Source organism: Homo sapiens, chromosome 13, assembly GCF_000001405.40.
Source record: "Homo sapiens chromosome 13, GRCh38.p14 Primary Assembly".
Taxonomy (NCBI): Eukaryota; Metazoa; Chordata; class Mammalia; order Primates; family Hominidae; genus Homo; species Homo sapiens.
In genome coordinates, this window is record NC_000013.11 from 29,277,827 (window position 1) to 29,297,416 (window position 19,590).

At 39.3% G+C, this 19,590-nt stretch overlaps 1 protein-coding gene across 13 annotated transcripts in view; it reads left to right on the forward strand.

Moving 5' to 3' along the window:
- MTUS2 (microtubule associated scaffold protein 2) overlaps positions 1-19,590 on the forward strand; it is a 685,985-nt gene that overhangs the window by 457,864 nt on the left and 208,531 nt on the right. For 12 of the 13 annotated variants that reach the window (XM_047430227.1, NM_001384605.1, XM_011535019.4 and 9 more), the window contains one exon: positions 3,878-4,039. In XM_047430227.1, coding sequence (XP_047286183.1) covers positions 3,878-4,039 — 162 coding nt within the window. Of the gene's footprint in view, positions 1-3,877; positions 4,040-19,590 lie in introns of those variants that run through there. The other variant, XM_017020501.3, reaches the window with a different exon arrangement.

Sequence of the window (19,590 nt, forward strand, 5' to 3'; positions counted from 1 at the left end):
AGATCTAGAGTAGGGCAAAAGCTCAAGATGAAGAGAGCTTTGGTCCCTGAATTCATCCAAGGAGAGCATGCAAGGCAGCAGCCCATCCAGAGCACCTGCAAAAGATGATTCATGATCACAAATTAAACTTTTGCTATGTTAAGTACTGAAATTTTGGGGTTGTTTATGGGTCTGCCCCAATAAATCATGTTTGAATGGAAACTTGGCATATAACAGCTGGCTTGGCAGATAATGCAAGGAACTTAGACTATTTAATATACAGGCCTGGGACAGCGGGCTGCTATATAGAAAACAACACCAACAAATTCAGTCTCTTCCCCATGTAACATTCTAGGTGGATTGATGATGTAAATGTGAAAACAGAACTTTAAAATTTTTCAAACAGTACATAGGAGAACATCTTTATGATTTCAGGAGAGAGATTGAAAGTCTAAGACAGGCAAAGTACAAATCAGGAGGGTTGCATTAAAATGAGAAAGTTCTCAATAAAGGCACCATAAGTGTGAAGACAAGCCAAAGACTGGGAGAGTATTTGAAATATATCAGTATCCAATATACTGATACCCAATACAGAATCCAATAAAGAATGTGTCCAGATTATTTAAAGAAGTAAGGCTAACCACCTCAATTATGGGCAAAAGTTATGAATGGGCATCTTATGGAAGAGAAAAACTTGAGTAGCCAATAACTATGTGAAAAAAATCTCAGCCTCGCCACCTGTCAGAAAGGTATAAATTAAAACCAGTTAATAAAATTAAAACAGTTGCCAAAATTAAAATCCAGTGATGCTACATTTACTATCTCTGGTTAATGTGAATCGCAACAAGCAATTTGGAAAGCAATTTTGAATATCCAGGAAACTGAGCAAACTTCCCTGTGTCACAGCAGTTTTTCACTGTCAGTGGAATTGATGATGTTTCATACTTCTTAAGCTTGATGGTCAATTGTGTTATCCTCACCTTTTTGTATGTCTGAAATCGTTTATCATATATTTTTAAGACAATCATACTCTCACTCTTCTCTTTAGTCTTTCATCCTACAGGTATTATCAGATTTACCTCAATCCTTTCCTTTCTTCTCACGTCGAGCAGCCCATCTGATATTAATCCTTGAATACTTTCCAAATGGTTTTCCCATGAAAAACTGACTTGTTGTAATAACTTAGCCCTAGAACTTAAAATTAGCATGTACATTAATAACTAACACATAGAGCATACTATATATCAGATACTAAGTATTTTTTCATAGCAACTCTTACATTAACTTTTTAAAAAATTTCCTGGCTTTAGCTCCTTTAATTCTCACAACAGCTCTGTGAGGTAGATTATCACTATCCCCGCTTATGAATGAAGAAACTATGATGCAAGAGAGGTGGTAGGTAGAGGAGGTGGTATTCAAACCCTAGCCATCTTGCTCCCAGATCTGCACCATTAACCACCTTGCTGATGTTTCTTCTGTGCTGTGGTCAAGTGGAAGGGTAGGTAAATTTCCTGGGTTGTTCAGGCTGGAGTCGGTTCAGATTGGTTGGGAATGAAAAGACTGAATTAGCCATGTGAACCATTTCCACTGGCTGAATTCTCCAGAACATTTTTCTGGCTCACACAAGCAGTTTATTTCCAGTTGTTTTCTTCCTCTTACCAAGCAATGGTTTAATGTTGTCAGCATTATTGTGAAGTACTGGGAGCATTTATAGAATTGAACAGCCATTTCCAAATTCAGAGTATTTTTCATTTACTGAATAATGCATCTTTAATTACCAGCCAACTTAAGCCAGTTTTCAAAGAGTGGAACTGTTTATTGCCAGCTGTCTCCCATAATAATAGATAAGAATAGTGTTATATATTATTTTATTTTTTGGTAATTCAAGCCCTCCCTCAGAGGGAAGTACATAGTTCCCTGATACTTGTACTTCAAACAGATGAATTACTTCCCAGCCTGGAGAGCAGCCAAATCTCTAAATTGACGTGTTCACAGAATAATAAATTTCATGTAAGAGAATGATGCCAGATGCAAGAGGATTTGATACAAGTGCATTTGAACTCTACAGATGATACAAAATATTTCTCTTCTTAAGAAATTTTCATAAACTGTTAAATAAAAGACTGTGAGAGATTTTGCGCTCAATTCAGCTTCTGCTACACATTTCAGTGAACAGATTATTCTGGCAGTATGTCAGCAGGAGGCTAGACATTAGATAATTACTTGTGAAATATTTCTAGTGGTTGAGCCATGCCCCATGTGAAAATATCATTCAATTCCTGAGAGAGTCTCTGAGTTCTAGCACTGGACTGGTGCATCCACTGGATAATTCAGAAGCTGAGGCTCACTGTTTTTGCAAGTTCATGGTGTTGCTTTTCCTGGTTAGGTTTGCATCAAACATATTTTTTATCTGCATTATTTTTTATCTGACACCCAGGATACAGTGCAGATCCTTTCAATGGAGTTTCAATGCATTTATTTTCTTTGCATAGATCAAATATATTCTGTTAGTCCTATGCAGAACTATTTTAAAAACCTTGCACAGCACTTTAAAAGAACTATAGGGCATAGGTCCTGTTTTAAGAAATGGTGCATTCTTTGATTTCTTCCTAAATATGCTTTTCTTTAGAAACAACAGAAATCTCCACAATTTTAAACAGAATTTCAGGTGTTAAGAGAAAGAAAAAGAATAATCTCTTACTCTAAATGGTTGAATAAAATGCCTGGATGTTAGGAACACTAAAGCCATTTTAATAATATTATCATTTTTATGCAGGCCTTATCTAAATACAATGTTTAGACTAACCTTTGAAAAGGATGAAAACAAAAAATTTAATCCTTTACTAAAATATTGTATACTTCTTCCAGCTGTCATGGCTTATTTTTCATGGTAGATGGTCATATTCCTACCACTGGACTGTTTTATTCCAAACAAGTGGTAATCTCCGTGCATTCAGGCTCTCTGAATTAATAGATTAGCCTCACAGCTGTACTCAGAAGTATATTAGAAAGACTTACCCTTTAACAGAGAATAGATAGTGATGTCATTGTCTTTAAGAGATTGAAAATGTATTAACCACAAGGTTTAGAAAGATATAGAAGAAAAGTTTAGGCCAAACAACTTTGCGTATTTAAATTTGACACAAACACAATCCCAGTATGCCATATCTTCAGAGTCTCAGAGCAGTGGATTATAAACAAAGAGGCTCTTTCTAAATTGACTAGTAAACTGCAATTATCAATAAATGTCTTCTACCTTGGAAGTAATTCAGGGTCCTCACAGTTTGGTGAGGCCTCAGCTTTTCAAACAGAAAGCCTGCTTGAGTTTCAGAGAGATTCTCTCGTCCCCATGCTCTCTACCCCTCTACCTTCATCCCAAGCCTCCTCTTCTGGAGGTGAAATGAGCGAGATTTCAGGGATCTCTGAATAAAATTCCTGGGCTCATGGTACATGTGTATATTCCTATTCTCACTTCTCCTGGGTCACTCACGCTGTATTTCAAAAATAAAAGGCTCTTCATTCTGAGTTATCAAATAAGTGTTTATTATATACACATACATTTGCACATACACATAAGCGAACTGTGTGTGTGTGTGCATGTATGTATGTATGTCTGTGTGTGTGTGTGTGTGTGTGTGTGTGTGCATGCAGGCTGCTCCTGGCTTTTGTGGAGCCCCGTTTAGTGCACGGGATTTGTGTGACAGATATTTATGCAGTGACTAAAGGGAGTTCTTTTCCACATAGGGTTCCAGAAAAATACTTTTCAAGGTCACTCACTAAGAATCAGGTCAAGTTCTAAAGCAGATGACGGCAGTAGGATTGGTTGGCAAGTGCAAATGGTGAGGGCTCCATCCATTTTTCATGAAGTTATAATTAACACGCTGTCTGCCTCCCACAGGTTCAACCTTTGGGAATGAAGAACAGCCAGTTCTGAAGGCATCTCTGCCTTCTAAGGACACACCCAAGGGGGCCGGCCGGGTGGCCCCTCCAGCATCCTCCAGTGTGACAGCACCCCGCAGGAGTTTACTTCCAGCGCCAAAATCCACTTCCACACCCGCTGGTAAGACTTTGTGCCTTGGAGAGGCTCCATGGTGGAGTGCCCTTTCTGCATTAATAAAAAGTCTTTTGAAAGCCCCTGTGTACATCAGTTATTTAGAAGGGATGATTGATTAAATGATAGTTAGTAACAATAATACCACTGCTTTTAAGGCACTTTCATATATTCATGTTTAAATTCTCGTAACTGCCTCTCACTCTTCCCATGACTGGTAACCCTTTGAATCACACAGTTTCCGTTTCAGAAAGCAAGAACCAAGCTATTTTAAGCAAACTGGCATTTGGCTCAGGGAAGTGGGTGCTGACGATATCATCGCAAGGACTGTAGGATAGCAAGCTTCAGGCTGCGCCTCCAGGAATGAGCCCCAGAACCCCAGAGAGAAGTGCTGCCTCTGCAGCAGTCCAGGAGTGCCATGCTCCTGCTGGCTCTAGGCTCACATCTCCAAAGCTAGGATCCAGGGATGGATCCACTACTCCCATGGTAGGGTTGGCTCTAGAGCCACACTGGGCCTGCCAGATTCAGTCCAGCAAAACTGATCCCTGTGCCCCACCTGTGCATACCCACAAAGCTAGTGACTGGACATGCAGAATTCAGCTGATTCAAAGGTGTAACTAGCACAGGTGCTTGTCAGCAGAAAGTGCCGAGGCAGCATCAGTGTGGCCCCTGCTATGCTTCTCCTCCCATCCCTCCCACAAGTGCATCTATTTGCCTGCAGGGATGTTTGTGTATCTTGTTCCTAGCTTTTCTTTTTCTACATTATAGAAGGCAAATTTATCAGGATGGTAGAATGAATGTTGAGCCCTAATTCACCATAGATGGCTCATCCATACCAGTGTTTATTCCTCCATATTTTTTCTATGCTTGTATCAATGTATCATCATATCAATGTATATATATATGTAAACATACGGGTTTTATAGGTATTTTTAAATGAGACTGCATTATATCAATTTTTCTACATGTTGCTTTCCTTACTCAATGTAGGTCATAGAAATACCCTTGGCAATGGTAGGGCTCATTCTTTTCAGTGGCTGCATGCTGTGGATATGCCATGATTTATTCAATCATTCCTTCACTAGTGGGTATTCATTTTGCAACCAGTATTTGCCACAACAAACAATGCTGCAATAAACAGCCTTGAGTGGGTGGCATTGTTTCTATGGGATTAGTTCCCTGGAGTGGTGTTGCTTTGTTTGATGCATTAATAGATATGGATAGATTGCCTTTCAGAGAGGCTCCACCCATATCCCTGCTAGGAATAGGTGTTATCCCTTTCTAGAATTTTGGTCTGCTTGATGGGAGTGAAGTATTATCCCAAAGTTCTTTTACTTTGCATCTCCCTGACCACTAGACTAGCTGGAACCTCTTGCTCTAGCAGCACCTTGCAGTTCCCTTTGTTAAGACTTAAATTGGCTCATTTAATTTTGTTCTTCCTCAGGGGAAGGTAAGCTTCTGGGGGTGGTGACTGTGTCTGTTTTAACACAGCATCCTCATTGCCTGCCACAGTGACTGACTCACAGTAGGTATTTAACATCTATGGGTTAATTATTGAATCAACAAATGAATGAATGGATATCACATGGCATTTGAATCTTTCAGCTACAATTTATTAACAGTTTGGCCTTGGTTTAATTAGAAAATAATTAGACAGCCCTATGGTATGTTAAAACACGGTGGTTGAATCAACCCTATAGCCCAGTGTTTCTCAAGCTTTAGTGTATCAGTGTCACCTACAGGGCTTGTAAAAACACACATTACTGGACGCTATCCCCAGAGTTATTGGTTCAGTAGGTTTGGTTTGGGGCTCGAGAATTTGCATTTCTAACAAATTCCCAAGTGGTGCCTCTAGACTAGGGATTACACTTTGTGAGCCACTTGTAGAAAAATGGGTTAGGAATTTGAAAAGACAGTTCTTAGAAAAAGGCAAAGGGCTCTTAGCCATATGAAAGGATAATAATCGGCCTCACTGATAAGAAAAACGTAAGGTGAAACTACAATAGATTATGATACCCTACCAATCATACTGGCAAAAATCCAAAAGTTTGACAACATATTCTGTTTGTGAGGCTGCAAGCAAACAGGCATTCTCATACATTTTTGGTGGGAATATAAAATGGTACAAAGAGGAAGAGGAGTTTGGCAGTATCTAACAAAATCATACATGCATTTATTCTTTGACATAATAGTCTCACACCGAGGAGTCTTTCCCAAAGGTAGACTGACAAGAATATAGTACATGGAGTGATTCACTGCAGCACTCTTTGAAGTAGAAAAAGACTGAAAACAACTCAAATGTCCATTAATAGGGGGCTCACTGAACAGATTGTGGTATATCCACAGGATGCGGTACTATGTAGCTGTTACATGAATGGGGAAATAGCTCTTTGTATCAACATTACTAGAAAGTGATTTCCAGGAGGTCATTGAGCAACAAAAGATGGAGGAAAAAATGTAGTCGACTATGTTTTATCTAAACAATAGGAAAATGTTATATATGAACTTATATTAAGAAAAAGCAATAGAAGAATAAGCTATTTTTTAAAAAAAAAAAATGATGGCCTTCAGGGTGAAAGAAGGAATAAAAGGAGAGACTAAGAGGTACAGGTTACTGATACATTTTGAATGCACCTTGTTTTGTAGATGTAAAATTACATAGACATTTTACACAATTATACATTAAATGTTAAAAGATAATATCTAAAACTCAAAAATGAAATTAAACAAATGGAAGTAATTGCATAGCCCGTTGATGGCATAACCACACAGAGAAGTACATTCCCAATGGTATATACCTCAGATTCAGAAAGAATTGCAACGAAAATCTGAAATTATTGGTGGTGGTGTTAGTACTGTGATTCTGTATCTGCTGTTATTCTGAACATGTGTATTATGGGATGAATGGGATTAGGGGTATTATAGGATAAAGTCAGAACTCATCTGAAATTTATCTTTAAAACAATATTCTCAGCTCTATCTACTGGAAAGTTGTAAGTGGTGACTAAACCAGTCATAATGAGCACTCCTAGAGCCCAGGTTGTGATGTCTGAATGGACTTCCCAGTAGAGGGAGATAGGGATCCTTGAAGAACCAGCTGTTTCAGGTCTAGGACAAGAAATGTAGATCCTAGAACATCTTGCCATGCTAGCTGGCTAAGAAGAATATAAAAACTATGAGGATTCTGTTGAAAGGACCTATGGGGTCAACTTGAATAAGCTCCTACTGGTAAAAAAGAAAAAAAAAAGGAAAAACTGAAAGAGTTTGAATATCAATAAGATTAGTATTTACAATGGATGAATACCCATCAATGAGGGCATATGATAAAAAACAAAACCAAAAAAAAAAAAAAACCTCCAAAACTAGTCACATTGGAGGATGCTAGGAAATGACCTCATTATTTTAAAATCTGGTAAATAAAGGAAAAGAAAAGCCTTTTAGTAATTTCTCCTACTCAGTCTGTATCTCAAGATAACCAAATAGCTGGTGAGGGGGAAGTTTCTCTTTATAAAAGTATTCCAGCTAATACAAAACACATGATAAAACATCCCTTTTTGCCTCTTCTGATGAATGAGTTGATAAAAGCAATGATCATCAGTATGAGGAATCACCAGACTTTACGAACTGTCCAGATGGAAATATATACAGATTACCTGGGAATTAGTCTTTGGGGGAAAAATGGATTTGGTGCAGCCTCTGGAGTTAACTACTGATTTACTAGAAGTACAAAGGAATGCAGAGAAGCACGTTAAAAACACCATGAGGATTGAATCAGCAAACCTAGACTCTGGGAAGCTCTATGGGACACACCCTCTGATGTACTCGGCAAGAGCAACAACAACACAAAGTGTGACAAATAAAAACCAAACATCTTTGGGGAAAATGAAGAGGGCATGGGAACCTGTAGATTACAAAAAAATGTAAACATATAGGCCAATTTTGGAGCTAATTTTAGATCCTAATTCAAACAAACATTTGAACAAAAATTTGAAATTCAAACAAAAATTCAAAAAAACTTTGGAAGATATTGGGAAAATGTGAACACTGGCTATATGGTGATATTAAGGAATTATTGTTAATTTTTTGTTTAGACAAGTCTCTCTCTTTTGCCCAGGCTGGAATGCAGTGGCGTGATCTTGGCTCACTGCAGTCTCCACCTTCTGCTTTCAAGTGATTCTCCTGCCTTAGTCTCCCAAGTAGCTGGGATTACAGATGCGTGCCACCATGCCTGGCAAATTTTTGTATTTTTAGTAGAGTTGGGGTTTCACCATGTTGGCCAGGCTGGTCTCGAACTTCTGACCTCAGGTGATTTGCCCGCCTCAGCCTCCCAAAGTGCTGGGATTACAGGCATGAGCCACCGCACCCGAATTATTGTTAATATTTTGAGTTTGATGTATTTGTGGCTATGTTTTTAAAAAGAGTCATGTTTTAGAAATTCACATATATGAAATGCTATCTGGTATTTCCTTCAAAATAACCTAGGATGGTGGTGAGCAGAGTCTATGACATAAAAGATGAAACAACACTGGCCACACGTAGCTCTTTGTTGAAGCTGGGTAATGGAATACAGTAAGTTAACTCAGCTAGTCTCTCTAGTGTCTGTTTAAAGAGTTATATAATAGCATGGTAAAATGTGTAGAGAGAGTGGCTGTTTTCATGGAAGTGAAGTTAAATGGAAATAAGGTATTTCAAATGTTGAGAAGAGGAAAGGCAGGTAGTGTGACCATAAGTTTCATTGCTTTTCCAAGTGTTTCTGCTACATGAGGGATTTCTGAAAGCCATGCACTATCTATCTGTCTGTCTGTCTGTCTGTCTGTCTATCTATCTATCTATCTATCTATCTTACTTATTTGAGACAGAGTCTGGCTTTGTCACCCAGGCTGGAGTGCAGTGGCACGACCTCAGCTCACTGCAACCTCCACCTCCTAGGTTCAAGTGATTCTCCTGCCTCAGCCTCCTGAGTAGCTGTGATTACAGGCGTGTACCACCACACCGGGCTAATTTTTGTATTTTTAGTAAGGACAGGGTTTCATCATGTTAGCTAGGCTGGTCTCGAACTGATCTCAGGTGATCTGCCCGCCTTGGCCTCCCAAAGTGCTGGGATTACAGGCATGAGCCACCAAGCCATGCACTCTTGATAACAATTTTCTTCCACTTTGTATTACTTTATAAAACACTAATATACAGAATCTAATTTGGTTCTCACAAAGACCCTAAGAGGTAGGCAGGGAAATTATTACAGATGCAGCAAGTGAAACGAGTTGTCCAAGGTCACACAATGGCATCCAGAAATAAATGGATGTTGTATATGTTCCCAGTCCTTTTCTTATAATAATAGTATAAATATCCAGCTAAGGACTATCAGAATTCCATCTGTGGGCTGCAATTTGTCCATTACCAATAGATTGCATGTGTGTGAAGGGGGATGGTGTGAAGCAGGGCGATGCCCAGGGCTTTGTGCTTCAGGCCAGGCTCTCTTTGAGATTACCCGGTTAGGAGTTCCAGTGGGGATGCCTTAACCTCTGTGTGGTCCTTCCCTATTCTCGCTCGTGGTGGAGCACACCCCACACTATTTGCGTTTTCCATAAAAGAATGCATTTTTGAGAAGTGTGCTCCTTTCCCTAAAAGCTGACATCACTCTGTATGTGTGTGGTGTGTGTGTGTAAACATTCACCCAGTCCTCCCTCACTGAACACATGTGTGTTACTTTCTCCAGAGGCAAAATTTTAACTCTGTAAACTTGCTTGTCCCTTCTTATGATGAGCTATCCCTTTCTTTGTTGAAAACTCAAACATTCTTTCAAGCTGCCCTACAGGCATCTGATATTTACTAGACTTGCTTTCCTAGGTATAAATTTTTATGAGTGTAATAATTGCTTTTCTTCCTATTCCAGACCAAAGCACATTGAATAGTTTCTCCAGACTTACCAATTCAGTGATGAGGTTAGCGGGTATTATGTTGTGGGATAGGATGTTCTGGAGATGTGCAGATGAGTGAGACACGATTCCTGTCCCCACAGGGTTCACAGGCTGATGGCGGAGAAGCACAGAGAAACAATTATTAAAACGTTGACCGATGTTTAAATGAGCTGCTATACAGCCTGACGTGTCAGTCCTGGTCAGGAGGCTGCAGGCTCTCTCACTTATACAACTGAATGGCTAATACTGCCCTTAGTGACTAGACTGAAGGCAAAAGGAGGACAAGTGTAGAGGAAAGACAGTAAATCTAGCTTTAGATGAGATGAGTTTGAGGTGCCTGGGAAACCTCCATCTAGCAATGTCCAGTAGACAGCTGGAATAAGCCAAGAGCTCTAAGGAAAGTTTTAAGTTGGAGATTTCCATGTGGAATTCATGGGCTTATCCTTGTGGCTCTGGGAATGGAGGCAATGGGGATGTGAGTTTGCTTGGGAGGACATGGAAAGTGCAAAGGTAACTGCGATTGCCACCTTGCTAATACCAAAATGGGAGCAGCAGATGAAGAAGGCTCATCTGGAGAAAGAAGAGCTTTCAGAGCACAGAGCGGGGCAGCAGCTGAGGAAATGGAAGCCATGAGCTCAGACTGTTCTTTGAGGAATGGAAAGGGGAAGGGAAGGAGAATAGGATGGTAGCTTAAAGGGGAAGTGGGCAAAGGAAATTCTTGCTTTTTAGAATGAGTGACACTTGCCTCTGTGTATAGAAATGTCAAGAAAAGGAGGGAGTAAAGGTGAGAAAAGTAAAGAATTACTGGAGCCAGGCCTGTTAGGTGGTGGGGGTGGCACTAGGGCAGGAAGCCAGGCCCTGCAGCATGGGATGAGGGGGCTGATATTGGAAAGGAGCTGCACCACCTTGTCTTTGTCTAAGGCTGGAGGCTCCACTTGACTTGGGAGATGGATTCTGGGGGAGTTTTGGCAAAATGGTTAACTCGCATTCTGCCCCTCCACTACCTACTGATTCACTAGTGAGAATGTGAGAACAGCAGGGCACTCCATAATGCCTGTCCATCATCACAGAGTAGCACCTACACCTGGTCTCAGCGTTTCACGTGCTGCATTTTAAGCGGACTCAGAGACTGCAAAACAGCCAAATCTGCTCTTTGTCCCAGGGTTGTTTTGCAACACTACTTTTTCTGGATTGACTTTGCATATGCAAAAACAAATCTAGCTGGGTTTAAAAAAAAATCCTTTATAAAAAATAAATAAGTGTTCTCCTATTTTTGTATAGCAAATTGAAATACCCTTTTTTCCTACCATGTAACTGTAGAAGATTTTGGTTCAGGGGCACTGATGCTCATCAGAGCTCCAGGACTAAGTAGTAATTGAAGCATGTGATATAAACTGTTTTAGCTTTTACAGATATGTGACTAAACAGCCTTATATCTGTAAAAACAGCAAAGTTCAAGTATGGACTAATGGATGGGATGGTAAAGATGCCTCACTCCTGCAGAGAGGCTGGGTGGACACCAGTCCAGCTCCGCCTGTCTTAGCCACTGGACTTGGGACAAATCAACATTAAGGAATCTTTTCATATTTCTCAGTCAGTTAAAAAATGTGTGGGGATAATAGTTCCTACTCCATGGGGTTGTTCTGAGAATTAACATAAATGAAAGGACATAGAACAAAGTAGGCATTTCTTTTTTTTTTTTTTTTGAGACGGAGTCTCGCTCTGTCGCCCAGGCTGGAGTGCAGTGGTGCAATCTTGGCTCACTGCAACCTCTGCCTCCCGGGTTCAAGTGATTCTCCTGCCTGAGCCTCCCAAGTAGCTGGGATTACAGGCACCCACCACTGCACCCGGGTAATTTTTTTTTTAATTTTTAGTAGAGACAGGGTTTCGCCATCTTGGCCAGGCTGGTCTTGAACTACTAACCTTGTAATCCACCCACCTCGGCCTCCCAAAGTGCTGGGATTACAGGCTTGAGCCACTGCGCCTGGCCCAAAGTAGGCATTTCATAAAGGCTATTTGAGTTTTAGAGGGTTAACTGGAATGTGAAGAAATTTTAGAGGGTTCAGACCCCTTCCAGTCTCTCATAGGCAGAAGATGGGTTTTAATGAAACCTACCATGTACTCTCCAGAATTGGTGTTTATTGATGTTTTTGCTTTACCCCACCTCCACACCCCACATTCTGCTCTGCCCATGATCAAATTTCTTTTTCCCCTGAATTTCCCCCTCAGAAACCTGCATTCACTAGTGCAGAGGAAAACCATGTTGCCATGAAGAACTTACCTGTCGTTCTACATATCTTCAATAAAGATGCCTGTACAATTCCAAAGTTAGGGGAGAAAAAGTGAAAACTGAAAAGCCCCTGTAATACTTTCGGTGCCTTTCTCTAAGGGATTATTTTTCCTGCCTTTGTCTATAAACCCATAATATTTACTTACCAGTTAAAAGGTAGCTCTTTCCTAGGTCATGTTCCCTTTAAGGTGGGAGTCCTGAAAACAGGCTGCATCTTGGTTTCCCTTTCCTGTAAGTGTCTCTGCTAGGAACATCTGTTTTTGTTTGTTTGTTTGTTTGTTTTGAGATGGAGTCTTGCTCTGTCTCCCAGGCTGGAGTGCAGTGGCGCGATCTCAGCTCACTGCAACCTCCGCCTCCCGGGTTCACGCCATTCTCCTGCCTCAGCCTCCTGAGTAGCTGGGACTACAGGCGCCTGCCACCACGCCTGGCTAATTTTTTTGTATTTTTAGTAGAGACAGGGTTTCACCGCATTAGCCAGGATGGTCTCGATCTCCTGACCTCGTGATCCGCCTGCCTCGGCCTCCCAAAGTGCTGGGATTACAGGCGTTAACCACCACGCCTGGCCAGGAACATCTCTTACACCCCATTCCCTCCCACACAACCTGTTCCCTCTTCCTCTCCTTTCTCTGGTGACACCTGTCTCTCCTTCAGGTCTTGACCTAAATGTTGCCTGTTCAGGGCTCTTCCCCTTGTAGCTCTGCTCACGAGTTTAGTTGTCTAATGATGTCTGCAATTGGCTGAAGTCTCTCTGCCCCATATGTGCAGTCGTGGCTGTTGTACTCATCCCCAAATCCTTAGCACCAACAATGGGCCCAGCACAAAGCAGGCTCTCAACAAATAGCTGCCGAATAAATGAAAGTTGCAATTCCCCTAGTGATTTGAGAGCACTTGCCACAATGAGTGCTCAGAAAGTACCTGTGTCTTGTTGCAGATGGTCACATAATAAAGCAACAAGACAACCAGATATTTAAGATAAATGAGAGACGTGCCCTTTGCCTTTCTGTTAGTATGGCCTCCAGCAGGTACCCGAGAACCCAACTGTTCCAAGCCTCTTGTGGAACTGTCCAGAGGAGGTTGCTTCTTAGAGACACTGATAGCAAATCACAGAGCCCGCCTGGTAGAGGCAGCTCACAGCAGCCCCCAGCGCACCTCTCTCCTAGTTTCGTCTCTCCACTGTTGTTAACCCTGTGGTCTCCTCCTCCAGGGCCCACAGTGAGGGGCAGCCCCAGCCACTGGAGAGCCAGTGAGACACGCCATGGACAGTTCCTGAGTCTTGGCCCAAATCTACCAAGAAACTAATTTCAATGGTGTCTTAAGCCTCCATTTTTGTTTTCAAAAGGCATAAAACGTTGTATACATTTTTGCATCATTGACTCAGAGGGGAGGTACTAGGGTGTTTTAAACAAACATTTGTTTACACAGCAGAGAACCCCATGCCAGCCACTGGGCAGACCCTCAGCTGTGGCTCCCTGGGAATATTGCAGGTGTCCAGCAACCCCTGGTGGCTCTGCCTTTTCCAGCCTTTGAGCTGAGCTCACAGGTGATCACCTCCATCAGCCTCGGTCCTGCTGACCTCATGAGATGGTTGAGGTCGTAGGGCTCGCTCGTTTAGAATATGTCTTGTCCTTCTTTTTTCATTATCAGGAGACTAAGATCCATGAGGGAGAGGCCTTCATTTTGTTTCCCAGCTCAGATAGGAGGCCACACACATTGCCTAAAAACCCACAGAAAATGGAATTGAGTTGTCAAGGCAGGACATAGTTGGGAAAACAAAGCAGAAACTCATTTTAAATGTAACCAGGACTTTCTTTTCTCAGTTTCATCCAACTCTAACATCTAAGCCCTCCTTGCATTTCAAAATCATTTCTGCTAAAAGGTAAATTTTATTACAGAATTTTAGCTTTGCATGTATCCTGTTGGTTTTAAATAAAGTCCAGTTTCTAAAATGAGATCTAGTTTCACATTACCTTGTTCTGTTATCAAGCCAATTAAAAAGCAGAAGGTAGGCATGCAGATTGTAGTTAAATCCCAAATAATTGGATTTCTTGGGACTGTGAGGTGTTTGAGTTATTTTAATTACTGAGATAACACTAACTCTTACTGTTTTAACCCTTGTTGGAAACACTTCTCAGCTGTGATACTTTGCTTCCTTCCCTTGGTGGCTCTAAGCTGATGATGGCTGAGCTCTTGCATGTCAACGTCACCTGCTCAATTACCGTCACCCCCTGTTGTCCACTCAACGTGTACCTACAATAGAATGTACCCTGGAAGTACTTGGGCTGTTTCCTTTAACCTAGATTTCTGATGTGAGTTTTTGGTGAGTGATTCTTTTCTGGTTCACTCATTGAACAAACATCTGAGTGCTTGCTTTAATTCACAGGCGACTTGGATTCAAAGATAATTAGAACAGTCTTAACCCTTGAGGGACTTGTAAGTAACTACACGGATTTGTAATCTAGTAATTAGAGTGAGAGTGAGAGGCCTATAATCTTATTATCTGGACTCCAGTTAATTCTAGCAGATCAGGAGTTCACGGTACGATGGATTAAGAAAAGAATGACCTGAAAAAAGTTTAAATTAAATATAGTAAGTTTTATTGAAGATTTATTTAATCACTTTCTATTATTTGTTTAATTGTTTTCTAATTTATTTGTCATTTACTCATTTTTTTCATTTCGGAAAAGATCCAGTGTAGTTTGCAGTAAAGGGCACAGGATTATAGAGATAAAAATCTGAGTAATAGAAGAGAGAAGCATGACAAAACTAGGCTTAGAGCTTCTTGGCTAAAGGTAGAAGAAGAAACACACTCAAGGGAAAAAAAGAGCCTGCCATTGCATCAGGAGAGAGAAACTTATTTCCTAGCACAAATGTTAAAGACTTTAATTCTGTAAATTTTAAAAAGTTGTATTGAGCAACATAATTGACAATTACTTTAATTATGTGTCTTAATTTTTTTCTGACAATGAAATAATTAGTTTAAAATGTGGGGATATGGAAAGTCTTTTTTAGTATGACATAAAACCTAGAAACATTTTTAAATGACAAAATTACATAAAATCACATAAAAATTTAAAACTTTCTACAATGAAAGACATCATAGAGTTGAGGAAGATGATAAACTGATAGAAAATGCTGCAACAAACTGTGAATATACATGCAGTTTAAACAACCCCTGAAAATCATAAGCAAAAAACAACTTAATTTGAAAAACAGGTAAAGATATGAATGCATATTTTACACACTAGAAGTACAAAGTGGTCAATGGCTATAAACATATGAAAAGATATTCAAATTTACTAATAACTAAACATATTCCCTTTTTAGAATGAGATACAGTCTTTTTAATACTGGATTATAAACCTTTAAAAAGATTTATTACATCCAGCGTTGGTAAGAATGTGGTACACAAACACTCTTGTAGTGTTAGTGAGAATATAAATTGGTACACTCTTTTGAGAGCAATTTGCCAATAACTATGAAAATTTATGTGACAAGTAATCCAGTATTTCTACTTCTAGGACCCTCTCAAAAACATCCTTGTTCAAGCAATAATGATATATGTGCAGGAACTTTCTATGCAGCATTGGTTACAATGCTAAAAAAGTTGGAAACAATCTAAATATCTGTCAATATGGAAATATGTAAATAAGTTATGATATAGCCATTTAATAAATGCTTATGTAGTTATTAAAAAATGAGATAGATCTACATGAATTACATGGAAAGATGTCCATAACATGTCATTAAAGGTAGAAAGCTATAGAACACAATCTCATTATTATAAAACTGAAATAAAATAAATCATTTTATGTATGCCTTTTTGTAAATTTATAGAAAAAGTTGGAAAATATCATTTAAATAGCCAAGAGCCATTATCAGTGTGGTGTTCAATTGGAGGAAAAGTTGTAATGAGGAAAAAGAACTTTCATTTTTAAATTTTGTTCTTTCTATATTGTCAGAATTTTTCCAGACATGTTTCAATTCTTGCTATAAAATATATACAGATAATTGAATAAAAAGGATAATAATTTGTTCTAAGGAAAGAGCATGAAGGTTACAGAAAAAAATGAAACAAAAATATCTCAAAGCCTCACAGTTTATCATTAGACACTAATAACATATATTGGTATATTTCCTTCCAGTCTTTTCTCTATATGGGTATGATTTTTTTCATACCTCAGTTATTCTTTATGTATAGTTCTGTATCCTGCTTTTACAGTTAACGTTATATCCTAATAATTTTCCAATATCATGATAAATATGTGAAAAGGTTCTTTTTAATGATGTTGTAATAACTGCATATTGATTAACCATAGTTTGGAGAACTGCTTGTCTCCTGTTCATTTAGGTTGCTTTCAGTATTTCACTATCATGAAACAATGAAGTACAATTAATTTAATAAATTTATTTTGCAAAATCATATTTGTTAGGGGTTTTCAAGACTATTTTCAGGCTTGATGATTTCCCTAGAAGGGCTCATAGGACTTAGAAGTTGGTATATTTATGATTATAATGTATTACAATGAAAGGATACAGAGTAAATTCACCAAAGGGAAAAAGCTCATGGGGCAAAGTTCAAATGAAACAAGGCACAAGTTTCCAAAAGTCCTCTCTCAGTGGAATCACACAACATATACTTCATATTTCCAGCAATGATGTGTGAAAACATGAACAGATTTTGCCATTGAGGGAAAAACATCTGAGCCTGATTGTCCAGGGTTTTTGTTATGGATCAGTCACACATACACACAGCATCTTTTCTATGTGTAAACTAGGCAAATTGATGCAGTATGGCTCAGGACCTTGGGCATGCAAAATGCTCTTGTGAGTTAGAACATTTAAAAGCCCAGCTCTCAGGAGCTGGCCAGTGGCCAGTCATGAAACAGGCTCTTCTTGGAAATGTGCAGGGTTTAAGCAATTCAAGCCTGCTTAGTTATTCCTTTCCTACACAATGAGGCACAGGTTTCCCATATGTTCTTAGGATGCATTCTTAAAAGTGGAAATGCTGAGTCATCTGAAGTATGTCTTTGAAAATAACGTATTGACTGGCTGTTGCCTTTTTTTTTTTTACTTTTATTATTTTTAATTCACACAATTGTATGTATGTATAGGGCACAGTGTGACATTTTGATACATTATACAGTGTAATAATCAAATCAGAGTAGTGTATTAATCACCTCAAATATGTATCATTTCTATGTGTTAGGAACATTCGAAATCCAATCTTCTAGCTATTTGAGAATATCCAGAAATTGTTGTTAATTACAGTCATCTTATAGTGCCATAGAACACTAGAACTTACTCCTCCTATCTGGATGTACTTTCGTATCCATTAACCAACTTCTTCCTATACTCCCCTACCCCCTACCTTCCCCACCTCTAGTGACCACTATTCTACTCTCTCCTTCTATGAGATCAACCTTTTTAGCTTCCACATGTTAATGAGAACATTTAGTATTTATCTTTGTGTGCTTGGCTTATTTCACTTATAAAATAATGTCCTACAAGCTCATCCATGTTGCTGCAAGTAACTGAATGTTGTTCTTTTTTATGGCTACATAGTATTCCATTTGTATACATACCTGTATTAGTCCATTTTCATACCACTATGAAGAAATGCCCAAGACTGGGTAATTTATAAAGCAAAAGAGGTTTGTTTAATGGACTCAACAGTTCCCCATGGCTGGGGAGTCCTCACAATCATGGTGGAAGGTGAAAGAGGAGCAAAGGCATTTCTTACATGACAGCAGTCAAGGGAGTGTGTGCAGCGGAACTGCATTTTATAAAACCATCAGATCTCATGAGACTTACTATCATGAGAACAGCACGGGAAAAACTTGCCCCCATGATTCAATTACCTCCCACCGGGTCCCTCCCATAACATGTGGGGATTATGGTAGCTACAATTCAAGATGAGATTTGGGTGGGGACACAGCCAAACCATATCATTACCACATTTTCCTTATCTGCTAAATGAACACTTAGGCAGATTTTATACCTTGGCTGTTGTGACTGGTACTGCTGCCATAAATTTGGGAGTGCAGATATCTCTTGAACATACTGATTTCCTTTCCTTTGGATATATACCCAGCAATAGGATTGCTGGATCATATGGTAGTTCTATTTTTAGGTTTTTGTTTGTTTGTTTGTTTGTTTGTTTGTTTGTGAGACAGGGTCTCACTCTGTCACCCAGGCTGGAGTGCAGTGGTGCGATTATGGCTCACTGCAGCCTGGACCTCCCTGGGCTCTGGTGATCCTCCCACCTGAGTGGTTGGGATTACAGACACACACCACCATGCTTGGCCAATTAAAAAAAATTTTTTTTTTGTAGAGATGGGGTCTTGCTACATTGTCCAGGCTGGTCTTGAACTCCTAGGCTCAAGCAATCCTCCCACCTTGACCTCCCAAAGTGGCATTAGCCACAACCCCCAGCCTATTTTCAGGTTTTTGAGAACCTTCCATACTGTTTTCCATAGTGGCTATACTAATTTCCATGCCCACCAAGTGTGTAAAAGTTCCTCATTCTCTATGTTCTCACCAATGTTTGTTACTTTTTGTCTTTTTGATGATGACCATTTTAACTGGGATGAGATGACCTCAGTGTGGTTTTGATTTGCATTTCCCTGATGATTACTGATGTTGAACATTTTTTATATACCTGGTGGCCATTTGTATATCTTTTCTGAGGGTTGTCTATTCAGCTCATTTGTTCATTTATTAATTGAATTATTTTGATGTTTACTGTTGAGTTGTTTAAGTTCTTTTTATATCCTGGATATTAATCTCTTGTTGGATGAATCATTTGCAATTTTTTTCTCCCATTCTGTAGGTTGTATCTTCAGCCTGTTGATTGTCCCATTTACTGTGCAGAAGCTTTTTAGTTTTACATAATTCTATTTGTATATTTTTGCTTTTGTTGCCTGTGCTTTTGAGGTATTCGCCATAAAATCTTTGCCCAGACCAATGTCCCGAAGTATTTCTCCTATTTTTTCTTCTAGTATTTTCATAGTTTCAAGTTTTACATTAAAGTCTTTAATTTATTTTGAGTTTATTTTTATATATGGTGATGGGGTCTAGTTTCATTTTTCTGCATATGGATGTATAGTTTCTTAATATCATTTAATGAAGAGACTTGCATTTTACCTAATGAATGTCCTTGGCATCTTTGTCTTACATGTAATATTCTGTTGACAATTGAAAGGATGCATAAGTATTTTAGATACCAGGCATATAAATAACAAAAATATTTTATGAAAGTCGTTTCTTATTTCCTTTTTAAAAAAGATACGTTTGTTAAGAACTGTATGCATCATGCAGTATTCTTAGGGCTTTGTATATTCAACTTCTGATGC